This window comes from Homo sapiens, chromosome 19, assembly GCF_000001405.40.
Source record: "Homo sapiens chromosome 19, GRCh38.p14 Primary Assembly".
Classification (NCBI taxonomy): Eukaryota; Metazoa; Chordata; class Mammalia; order Primates; family Hominidae; genus Homo; species Homo sapiens.
The window spans coordinates 6,904,640-6,917,335 of record NC_000019.10 but is presented as its reverse complement, the minus strand read 5'-3'; the positions used below and the strand labels follow the sequence as shown (position 1 = coordinate 6,917,335).

Genomic DNA, 12,696 nt, shown 5'->3' with positions numbered 1-12,696 from the left:
ACACTCTCTCCTGCTTTCTCTACCTATTCCTCAGGACTTCGCTTAAATAGCTCTTCCATATTGCACACTGTGCTTTTACATTAAAGTATTAATCATAGCATTAATCGTATGCATAGATCAGATCAGGGGCTGGAAAACTGTGGCCTATGGGCCAATCTGGTTGTCACCTACTTTTTTAAATAAAGTTTTATTGAAACATGCCCAGGCACATTCATATTCATATTGTCTATGGATGCTTTTGCACTAGAATGGTAGTTAAATCATTGTGATAGAGGCTGTATTAATTGCAATGCTTAAAATAGTTACTAACGAGCCCTCTACAGAAAAAGTTTGCCATCCCTGACACAGATTAGCACTGTCCAACAGAAATACAGTATGAACCACATATGTAATTTTAAATTTTCTAGTACACATTTTTTAAAAGTAAAAAAAGATAAAATTAATTTTAATAATATATTAACTCAGTATAAGCCAAATATTATCATTTCAACATATAAATGTGATATTTTAAAATTTAAAGATATATTTTAAATATTGCATATTTTAAAAATTTAAATATTACATATTTTAAAAATTTAAATATTTTTTATTTTTAAATTATTTTAAATATAAAAAAGATGAGTGAGACGTTTTAATCCTTCTTTTTGTGCAACAAAGCTTCGAAATACAGTGTTTATTTTAGGTTTACAGTACCTCTCAACCTGGCTTATACAAATTTCAACTGCTCAACAGCAGAATGTGACCAGCACATATCATATAGGCCAGTGAAGGTCTCAGTACTCCAGTATTATAAGGTTATTTAATGTTTGACTTCCCTAGCACATGGAAAACTCTCTGAGAGCATGGACCATTTCTACCCTCATTGGTTCTCAACTATCTGGCACTGGTCTTGGCACCTAGAAAGGGATCGATAAATACTTATTGATGGAATACACCATAACCTGCATTCTCAGGAGAGGACCTGTACCTGTGGATTCAGATTCCTCAATTGTGGAACACCCGATCTTCATCTTATCCCCCTTGGCTACCAAGTCCAACGTCACATTCTCTTCACTGCATTCTTTGTTGATAACTTTGCTCTCAATGTCTAAAAAGAGAAAGGGAGAGTTCGTATGAGGTCACCCAGAAAGTCAGTCCTGAATTTGGTTTCTGTCCAAAAAAAGGTACACCTCCATCATGGCGAGCAAAGGAAAAGAATAGAAAGTTCAATTCATCATAGGAAAGATCTTGAGGCCCATGATGAATGATAGGGGGACCATAGCACCAAATAAATGAGTAACCCAGCTGGAGCCTTAGAAGTGAACTCTCATCTCCTAGGGGGTGCATCAGGGAAAGATGGGGTCAAAGTCAACAGTGATGGAAGGCAACAGTCATGATTTTCTCTCTAAGTTTTTTTTTTTTTTTTTTTTTTTTTTGAGACGGAGTCTCACTCTGTCACTTAGGCTGGTGTGCAGTGGCACGATCTCGGCTCACTGCAAGCTCTGCCTCCCGGGTTCACGCCATTCTCCTGCCTCAGCCTTCCAAGTAGCTGGGATTGCAGGTGCCTACCACCACACCCAGCTAATTTTTTGTATTTTTAGTAGAGATGGGGTTTCACTGTGTTAGCCAGGATGGTCTCGATCTCCTGACCTTGTGATCCACCTGCCTCGGCCTCCCAAAGTGCTAGGATTACAGGTGTGAGCCACTGCCCCCGGCCTTATATAAGTTTTCTAAAACCAAAAGAAATAGTAAGGGATTGGGGCAAGCCTAGCATGGTACACAAGAGCTCAGGTTCTGTAGTCAGATGGTGGTAACTGGGAGGTCCAGCTCTGCCACGCACTAGCTGCCTAAATTTGCGCATTGACTTAACCTCTCTGTGCCTCCAATTTCTCATCTCTATCATGACAAGCATTGCAGGACCTAACCCACTGGCCCTTCATGAAAATAAACTAGATAATGGAACAAGAAGTATCCTTGTAAAATATAAGCCAGATAATACCATACCTGTTCCCAAATTTTCCAATGTCCTTTCATCTTCAAATAAAATCTTGGCTGAGTACAGTGGTTCAGGCCTGTAATCCTAGTACTTTGGGAGGCCGAGCAGGAGGATCACTTGAGCTCAGAAGTTCAAGACCAGCGTGGGCAACATAGCAAGACCTCATTTCTACCAAAAATTTTAAAAACTAGACAAGCATGGTGGTGCACACCTATAGTTCCCAGCTACTCAGGAGGCTGAGGCAGGAGGATCACTTGAGCCTGGGAGTGCAAAGCTGTAGTGAGCTATGATCACACCACTGCACTCCAGCCTAGGTGACAGAGTGAGAACCTGTCTCAAGAAAAAAAAAACCTTAACTCCCTACATTTATCTACATTTCCATCTCCCTTCCTTTCTCCTACTGCTCTCACCATCTTCAATGCCACTTCAGCCACACTGTGCACCTCATTGTTCCTTGAATTCTCCAGGTATTCCTGCACTTGCTCTTTCTGCAGATATTTACGTGGCTCTCTTCCCTGACATCCCTGCCCCAATGAGACTTACTCTGATCTTGCTATATAAAATAGCAACTCTCCCTGTAATCCCAACCCTCTCTAACCTCCCTAGCCTGCTGTACTTTTTCTCAATAGTGCTACCTCTATTTGGTATACCAGATGTCTGTTTGTTTATTATCTGACTCAACTCACTAAAATATGAGATTCATGAGGCTAATTTTGTTCACTACTGGTTGGAGTCCACCAAATACTTTATTTCCACCTCTTGGCCGTCTGGGCATCCATTAGGTAGGAACTTCGTAGGTTTATGTGAATGATACTGGAACTACTACCAGGAGTGGGGTGCTAATGTAAAAGATCTACAGCAACCACTATTCCCAAGTAGTTATCTATCAAGTATGTATCAGTCAGGAAAGGATCAGTCTTGCAGCAGTAACAAACAACCCTAAGTCTTAGTGGATTAAAAAATAACAAGTGTTTACATCTCATTAATGCTTTGGGTCTATTGTAAATTGACTTGAGGCCATGTTCTATATTGTCTTTATTCTGGGACCCAGGCAGAAGGAGCAGCTGTGATCTGAAGCACTGTTATTCATATGGGCAGAGGGAAAGTTCTGGAAAGTCTCATACCTGCAACTACTCTATTCCCATATTTATTGGCCTGAGCTACTCCCCAAATCCCACCTAACCACACAGTAGCCAGGAAGTACAATTCTACCATGGGCCCAGCAGGGCAAACAGGAAGTACTTGAGCACAGCCTATGACTGTCATACCTTAGCCCAGCACATAGCAGCTAATCAGCAAATATTTGTAGAATAAATTAATGATATGGTCTTAGCACAGTGCCTGGCCTTTGCCAAGCACTCAGTGAATGGAAAATGTTGTTAATATGATTAGACTTGCTTTGCTGTGAATTCAAAGTTTTTAAACAGTTGGGGAAAGAATGGGTGGGAAACCCAGGGAATATCCCATTGCCAAAGTCAACTTTCAAAATCATCCCCTAGGTGTAACCTTGCCACAAAGGGTGTCTCCTACCTAAGTATTCCGTCCGAACAGCCGGAGTGATATTTGCTGAGGGTTTCCAAAAAGATGCCAGTGTCATGCTTTCCACACTCTCCAGGAAGACTGTGGCCAGGGAGGACGTCTCTTCCTTGGTGAATTTAGTCCACGTGGATATTTGTTTAAGCACAGGGACAAAGCTCTCAGTTGTATTCTGCAAGGAAAGATGTGTTTGTTCATTCTCTCTCTCTCTCTCATTAATGAAATAACAGCTGTCCCTTTTCTGATTAAGAATAGGCTGGGAGTCCATCCAAAGGAGAATTAAAAGGGGCATCCACTCGGGCTCCTTTTTCTGATTCAAGAAGCCCCATCAGAAATACAAATTCAGGCCGGGTGCAGTGGCTCACACTTGTAAGCCCAGCACTTTGGGAGGCTGAGGTGGGTGGATCATGAGGTCAGCAGTTTGAGACCAGCCTGGCAAACATAGTGAAACCCTGTCTCTACTAAAAATACAAAAAAATTTAGCCGGGCATGGTGGCACGTGCCAGTAATCCTAGCTACTTGGGAGGCTGAGGCAGGAGAATCACTTGAACCCAGGAGGCAGAGCTTGCAGTGAGCTGAGATCGCACCACTGCACTCCAGCCTGGGCGACAGTGAGAGAGGCTGTCTGAAAAAAGAAAAAAAAAGAAATACAAATTGAAGTTCAGGAATTCAAGACCAGCCTGGACAACATAACAAGACCCCATCTGTACAAACAAATTAAAAAAGAGCAGGCACGGTGGTGCATGACGCTAGTCCCAGCGACTCAGGAGGCTGAAGTGGGAGGATCTCTTGAGCCCTGGAGTTCAAGGCTGCAGTGAGCTATGATCACTCCACTGCACTCCAGCTTGGGTGACAGAGTGAGATCTTGTCAAAAGAAAGCAAGAAAGCAAGCAAGAAAGACAAATTGATGTAACCTTTATGCAATGCAGTAAGTTTGTACCCATAGCCATGTAAATTGCATATACCCTTTGACACAGCAATTCCCCTTCCTGGAATTAATCTTTTCAGAAATACTTAAAAGTTGTGCAAGGATCTTGTCCAGTGATGTTCATCTCAGGATAGTTTGTGGAAAGCCTAAATGCCCTACAGACTGGGTCAATAAATGAAGATGAAATCAAATAACAGCCATACAGCTGTTAAAATGAATATTGCAGTATACCTATAGGCATTAACAAGCAAAAGGGTCTCTGAGCCACTGTTCACTAAAGCAAATTACAGAGTATCATGTATATAGTATTGCATTTGGTTTAGAAACAATTGGTTTAATTTAAAATTTTATATTATGGTATTTATGTTCTGGCATATAGAAATAAAAATAGCACACACTTATTACGAGCCAGGTATTGCTCTAAATGTCTTTTATATATTAACTTGTTTAATTTGTAGAAGATATCTATGAAGTAGAGGCTATTTATGATTATTTTGATTTTTGAAAGGAGAAACAAGGACTCATATCTAGCAGGTGGAAGAACCACGATTTGAACCTTGGCAGTCTGGCAGCAGAGGCTGAATCATTAATCACTGTCCTAAACCTCTCATAGTAAGTGCTCAATAAAATGACTGCACTGTGTGTGCATGTGTGTGTGTGTGCTTATATATGTGGGTGTGTGTATATGTGTGTATGTGTTGGGTTGTGTACATGCGTGTGCATGTGTGTATATCTCTGTGTATGTCTATGTATGCCTATGTATGTATGTGTGTTTGTGTATATGTATGTATACGTGTGTGTATATATGTGTGTTTGTGTATGTGTGTACATTTGTATATGCCTGTATGTATATATGTGTGTATGTGTGTCAGGAGTGTGTATATGTGTGTGGATGTGTATGTGTGTATCTGTGTGTAGATGTCTGTGTATGTCTGTATGTGTGTATGGGTACATGCATAGATGTGTGTATACATGTGTGTATGTGTGTAAATGTGTGTGGGGTGTATGTGTGTAAATGTGTGTGGGGTGTGTGTATGTGTGTAAATGTGTGTGGGGTGTGTGTGTATGCATTTGTATGTGTATGTGTGCATGTGTATGTATGTTATATGTGTATATGCATATGTATATGTGTGTATGTGTGTACATACTGTGTGTGCATGTGTGTGCATGTGGGGGAGGTGTATATGTGTGTGTACACGTGTGTATACGTGTATGTATTTGTATGTATGTGTATGTGTGTGCGCATGTGTGTATATGTGTGTGTGTTTATTTGTATGTGTATGTATGTATATGTGTGTATGTGTGTACATGCTTACAAGGTAAAAAGATAGGGGAAGATACTTATCTACCTCTTAACACTGGATGTGTTTGAGGAATAGGATTAAGGTAAGAAAAACAATAACAACAATAGTAATAGTAATATTCATATGATTCCCCTTATTATTGATTATTATCAATAAATTGACTATCACATGTGACTCTGACCCAAGCAAAAAAAAAAAAAAAAAAAACTAAAAGGAATCCAGAACCTAATAAATGCAGGAAAATGCATTAAATGAATTAAATCCAGTCAGATGGTAGAGGAAATTAAACTGAAATTTGAGCAGCAATACAAGTTTCTATCTATCCAAATTAGATGATAAAAGGAAAAAAAGGATTTCAATAAACACGGGGTAAGCGGGACATTTGAGAGATATTTGTCCAAGAGAAACAGGAAGCCCTGAGCTCTGTAATCCCCAAAAGGCATGGGTGTGGGACTCCCCTCCCCACTGACATAGCAGAAACATCTCAACTAGGACCATCTCCAGGAAACATAGTACTCAGTTCGACAACTGGCAAAATCTCTTCAAATCCCGCCCCTCTGATATGTTAAATTTATTCTTAGCTAGGGAAGTTATTTTATATCCTCAGGAAAGTTAGAAAATTTTAGGCAAACTAAACATCCTTAGTAGGATTTGTGTTAAATTTAGAAGTTTTTGACATCTTTAGCATAATCTAGAAACATCTCCTATTTAAAGAGTTGGGGCTGGGTGTGGTGGCTTATGCCTGTAATCCCAGCACTTTGGGAGGCTGAGGTGGGTGGATCACCTGAGGTCAGGAGTTCGAGACCAGCCTGGCCAACATGGTGAAACCCCGTCTCTATTAAAAATACAAAATATTACCCACGCTTGGTGGTGGGCGCCTGTAGTCCCAGCTACTTGGGAGGCTGAGGCAGGAGAATGGCATGAACCCGGGAGGCGGAGCTTGCAGTGAGTCAATATTGCGCCATTGCACTGCAGCCTGGGCAACAGAGCAAGACTCCATCTCAAAAAAAAAAAAAAAAAAAGAGTTGGAACAGTTTGACACATTAGAGAAGCTAACCAATAAACCACATAATTTTATTGCAAAAAGCAATTAGACTTGTTATTTTAATATGAACAATTTAAGAGAACGTGGCTATTTATAAACCATATTGAATGTCTAAAAGAATCTGAATTATTATATTTATAGATTCGATCGATTGGATTTATGAGTCGCTCAGGACCCAAGTGACTTTGCCTATTAGATTTGTAAATCCTCTTCACCAGGTACTTGAAATTTGGGTGGAGCGGGAGGGGGGAATTGGAATATTTATAAACATAGTATAAAACATTCGAGGAAATTGAACTAAGTTTGTAAATAGGATTAATCATTTATCAAAATTTAATCTGAAAACCCTAGGGATGAATGTATACTTTATGAATAAAAATAAATGTATTAATTTAAAATTAATACAATTATAAGTAAAAGTGTTATTCTTATTTTCATACAAAAATAACCAGATTTATAAAGAAAATGACAATATCAATGAGTTCAACTTAAAGCTTAAGAAAAACTAGCTTTTGGCTAGACTTGGTGGCTCACACCTCTAATCCCAGCACTTTGGGAGGCCGAGGCAGGTGGATCGCCTGAGGTCGGGAGTTTGAGACCAGCCTGATCAACATGGAGAAACCTCGTCTCTACTAAAAATACAAAATTAGCCGGGCATGGTGGCGCATGCCTGTAATCCCAACTACTCGGGAGGCTGAGGCAGGAGAATCGCTTGAACCTGGGAGGTGGAGGTTGCGGTGAGCCAAGATCGCACCATTGCACTCTAGCCTGGGCAACAGAGCAAGACTTCATCTCAAAACAAACAAACAAACAAAACAAAACAAACAAACAAAAAAAACCACCAACCAATTCTGTCCCCCTGAAAAGATGAGAAAGATGAGAAAGTTCTTGAGATGGATAATGGTGATGGTTATATACAGCAATGAGAATGTGCTGAATCTCATTAACAGTAAAAAGGAAGGAAAAGAAAGAAGGAAGAAGGAGGAGGAGGAGGAAATGGCATTGTTTATATACACACTATCCAGGCATCTCAAATGCACTATGCTGAGTCAAAGAAGCCAGTCTCAAAAGACCACATACTATGTGGTTTCATTTATATAACACTCTTCCAAAGACAAAACTCTGGTGACAGAGACCAGATCAGGGATTTATAGAGTTTAGTGGTGGAGGGAGTATCTGACTATAAAGGAGAAGCCCAAGGGAATGTTTGGAGATAATTAAACTGTTCTGCATCCTAATTATAGTGGTAGTTCAACAAGTCTATTCAGGTGAGAAAACTCATCAAACTATACAAGTAAAAAGGTAATTTTACTGTATGCTAATTTTTCAAATCTTACAGCTATAAAAAATTAAATATTAATTCACAATCCATTCATTATAAAGAGATATTTCTTTCTTTCTTTTTTTTTTTTTTGAGATGGAGTCTCAGTCTGTTGCCAAGGCTGAAGTGCAGTGGTGCTATCTTGGCTCACCACAACCTCCACCTCCCGGGTTCAAGCAATCGTCCTGCTTCAGCCTCCTGAGTAGCTGGTACTATGGGCACCTGCCACCATGCCCGGCTAAGTTCTGTATTTGTAGTAGAGACAGGGTTTCATCATGTTGGCTAGGCTGGTCTTGAACTCCTGACCTCAAGTGATTCATCTGACTCAATCTCCCAAAGTGCTGGGATTATGGGTGTGAGCCACCACGCCCAGCCATAAAGACATCTTTCTGCACCCAAAGTGTGCCCAAGATGTTTGAAACTCAAAACACAATTTAAAAGACCCAATCGTTACCTTCAGAGAAACTACGGTCGTTTTATTTTCACACACTTTGTCCAGAACGCTGAAGATGTTATTTATTTGTGCACAAAAGGAGACCTGCGTCCCAGAAAAAAAAAAAAAGAGCATTTGTGAGCATGAATCGATGTATTCCCCCAAGCATGTAATCTACAAATTAGCCCATAAAGCCCATCATATGAGGTGGCTCTGAATTCCTGAGTCTCTAGAATTCTCAGGGAAACTAAAACTCATTACTTGATCAGAATTAGAATCACATCACCTTTTCCTTCCATGAATAAAAAAAGCAAACATAAACAAATAGCAAAACTACTTAGTGATTGCTGAAACCAGCTCAATCGGGGACACCCTAAGCCAGCGGCACTAGAGAAATTATAGACACACACACAGGAATATAGAGGTGTGAAGTGGGAAATCAGGGGTCTCACAGCCTTCAGAGCTGAGAGCCTTGAACGAGGTTTACCCACGTATTTATTAACAGCAAGCCAGTGATAAGCATTGTTTCTATAGATATTAGATTAACTAAAAGTATCCCTTATGGGAAACGAAGGGATGGGCCGAAATAAAGGGATGGGTCTGGCTAGTTATCTGCAGCAGGAGCATGTCCTTAAGGCACAGATGGCTCATGCTATTGTTTGTGGTTTAAGAACGCCTTTAAGCGATTTTTCCGCCCTGGGCTGGGCAGGTGTTCCTTGCCCTCATTCCGGTAAACCCACAACCTTCCAGTGTGGGCATTATGGCCATCATGAACATGTCACAGTGCTGCAGAGATTTTGTTTATGGCCAGTTTTGGGGCCAGTTTATGGCCAGATTTTGGGGGGCCTGTTCCCAACCAGTGATATTAAAAGAAGAGGAAATGTATGAACTAACAGTGGTCCATGTGGAATATTATTCAGCCATAAAAAGGAATGGAGTTCTCTGATATGTACTACAGCATGAAAGAACCTTGAAAATATCATGCTAAGTGAAAGAAGCCAGACACAAAGGAGCAAACATTGCATGATTCCATTTCTGTGAAATGTCAAGAATAGACAAATCCACAGAGACAGAAAGCTGATTAGTGTTTGCCATGGGCTAGTGGGAGGGGAGAATGGGGAGTGACTGCTTAGTGATAAAAATATTCCAGAACTTGGCTGAGCACGGTGCTCACACCTGTAATCCCAGAACATTGGGAGGCTGAGGCAGGTGGATCACTCAAGGTCAGGAGTTTGAGACCAGTCTGGCCAACATGGCAAAACCCCGTCTCTACTAAAAACACAAAAATTAGCCAGGCATGGTGGTGGGTGCCTGTAGTCCCAGCTATTTGGGAGGCTGAGGCAGGAAGAATTGCTTGAACCCAGGAGGCGGAGGTTGCAGTGAGCCAAGATCACCCCACTGCACTCCAGCCTGGGCAACAGAGCAAGACTCCATCTCAAAAAAAAAAAAAAATTTCTAGAACTAGATTGAGGTGATGATTGCATAACATTGTGAATGGTCTAAGTGCCACTGAATTGCACACTTTAAAATAGTTAAAGTGGTGAATTTTATGTTATGTGTACCTCACCACAATTAAAAAAGAAAAACAGTGGTCCAAGGCATGTGGGAAGCCCATAGCCAATTTACAAGCTCATATTTAGAATAGTGACATTGATTTCTAAAGAGGTCATGGAGTCTTTACTCATTGTAATGACTTCATTAGACAGTCAGGATGTCCAAATTCCTTTTGGCCTGGCTGGCTGTGTAACACCCCCACACCAACATTACTCAGTTGCAGCATCAACACCTTCACTGGCAGGAAGACTCCAATATATTCTCCCGTTCTTTTATTAAGAGAATCCTCAAGTTTTAGATAGGCAAACATTCTCTCTTCCCAGCTTCCCTTGCAGCTAGGTGGGACCATGTGACTAATTTCTACCCAATCAGGTGCAAGCAGAAGTGGTGCTGGGTCATACGCTTAAAGAGAAGGACCGTACTTTTCACTTCCTCTTCTCCCCTTCCCACAAGCTGGAATGCAGATGTGAGGGCAGGAGCTGGAGCTGCCACCTTGGGCCACAAAGTGGGAGTCTTGTGTTGATGCTGGCAGAGCATAATGGAGCCATGGTATGAGCTCTGCACAGCTTACACTCAGCAGGTTACAGAGGAGAAAAATAAACTGCTGTCTGGTTTTGGCCACTATTACTTTTGCCTTTGTTAGAACTGCAAAAACAACATTCTACCTAAATGGCTTCTAAGAAAACCTCAAAAACTAGGAACCTTAAAAAATACTTGCATATGCAGGTTTCACTGCGGTTCCCTCTTGGCATTGCTGGATCTGCTTATTATCGGGTATCACATCTTCCTTACATTTGAAGAGAACCCCTAGGAAGAAAACAACAGCAACCAAACCAAACTTCAACCTCAGCAAAATAAGATGAAAATTCAAGTCTGATTTCATGTCCTCCCGTGCCCGACTTAAAATCCATCTATTACCCTAATACACAAGGGGGAAAATGAACAAACCACAACTACACACTACAACATGAAGGACGTGTTTACTACAACACACAATTTTCTAATTTGCTCGGTTTCACTCAATATCATGCCTCTTAGAGGCAATCATGCATATGATTGTGGATGTATGTCTTTTATATGTGTGACTTCTCACTCAATATTATGTCCCTGCACAGCTTACACTCTAAGAGGCATGATATTGAGTGAAACAGAGCAAATTAGAGAAGTCATACATATAAAAGACATACATCTATAGTCATATGTAGTATGATATCATTTTTACAAAGCTCCAAACACAAGCAATACTAGGCAGATATTGTTTAGGGGTACATACCATGGGAAAATATTTTTTTAAGTAGGGAAATAATAAACACAAAATTCCAAGTGGCTGTCTAAGGAGGATACAAGGAGATAGAATGGAGAAGAAACATATAGGAGAACCAGCGACATTGATGATATTATCTTTATTATATTTGGAAATACATCAGATATATTCATTTGCTTGTTATACTTCATTGCCTCCAATAAGTTACACATATTTTTAATGTAATAAATAATACATAATTTAACAGTTTTAAACCTTTCATGGTTCCCCATTATTCTTGGGGGGAGGGGAAAGGACTCTGAAATTCTTTTTTAAAAGAAAGGTTGGCCGGGCACGGTGGCTCACACCTGTAATCCCAGCACTTTGAGAGGCTGAGGTGGGAGGATCACAAGATCACGAGTTCAAGAACAGCTTGGCCAACATGGTGAAACCCCATCTCTACTAAAAATACAAAAATTAGCTGGGTGTGGTGATGGGCACCTGTAATCCTAGCTACTCGGCAGGCTGAGGCAGAAGAATCATTTGAACCTGGGAGGTGGAGGTTGCAGTGAGCTGAGATCGCGCCCCTGCACTCCAGTCTGGGCGACAGAGTGAGACTCCATAAAAAAAAAAAAAGAAAAAAAAACAAAAGACAGGGTCTCACTCTGTCACCCAGGCTTGAGTGCAGTGGCATGAGCACAGCTCACTGCAGCCTCAACCTCCCAGGCTCAAGCGATCCTCCCACCTCAGCCTCCTGAGTAGCTAGGACTACAAGCCCATGCTACTACACCTGGCTAATTTTTTATCATTATTTTTTGTGGAGACGGAGTCTTGCAATGTTGCCCAGGCTGGTCTTGAATTCCTGGCCTCAGGTGATCCTCTCACCTTGGCCTCCCAAAGTGCTGTTTATAGGTATGTCACTGCATCCAGCCCTTTCAAAATTCTTCACAAGCCACCAAGACCCTGCAGAATCTGACCTCTGTCCACTTCATCAGATATGTCTACTGCCACTTCCCCTTGTCCTCATTTGGTGTGAGCCTCAGGACCTTTGCATCTGCTATAACCCAGAACAGCATGATCTCCATTCTTCCTCTAGAGAAGTCCTTCTCCTCCTTCAGGTTTCTGCTTAAATGTTGTTTGCTTGGAGCATAATCAATATCCTATTAGCCACTTCAAAGCACACTATGTTTTGGCCAGGCGCAGTGGCTCATGCCTGTAATCCCAGCACTTTGGGAGGCCGAGGCGGGCTGATCACGAGGTCAGTAGATCGAGACCATCCTGGCTAACATGGTGAAACACCGTCTCTACTAAAAATACAAAAATATTAGCCAGGCGTGGTGGCGGGCGCCTGTAGTCC

General features: G+C 41.2%; 1 protein-coding gene and 1 long non-coding RNA gene across 7 annotated transcripts in view; one reads left to right on the top strand and one right to left on the bottom strand.

Moving 5' to 3' along the window:
* ADGRE1 (adhesion G protein-coupled receptor E1) overlaps positions 1–12,696 on the bottom strand; it is a 52,872-nt gene that overhangs the window by 23,115 nt on the left and 17,061 nt on the right. For all 6 annotated transcript variants that reach the window (XM_011527794.2, NM_001974.5, NM_001256253.2 and 3 more), the window contains 4 exons: positions 10,815–10,903; positions 8,564–8,647; positions 3,506–3,683; positions 968–1,087 (listed from right to left, as the gene is read on the bottom strand). In XM_011527794.2, the coding sequence (XP_011526096.1) occupies positions 968–1,087; positions 3,506–3,683; positions 8,564–8,647; positions 10,815–10,903 (471 nt within the window). The remainder of the gene's footprint in view (positions 1–967; positions 1,088–3,505; positions 3,684–8,563; positions 8,648–10,814; positions 10,904–12,696) is intronic.
* Positions 1–12,696, top strand: part of LOC105372256 (uncharacterized) — a 36,712-nt gene that overhangs the window by 21,368 nt on the left and 2,648 nt on the right. The window contains exon 2 of the long non-coding RNA XR_936288.4: positions 4,948–5,051. This is a non-coding gene — a long non-coding RNA (uncharacterized LOC105372256). The remainder of the gene's footprint in view (positions 1–4,947; positions 5,052–12,696) is intronic.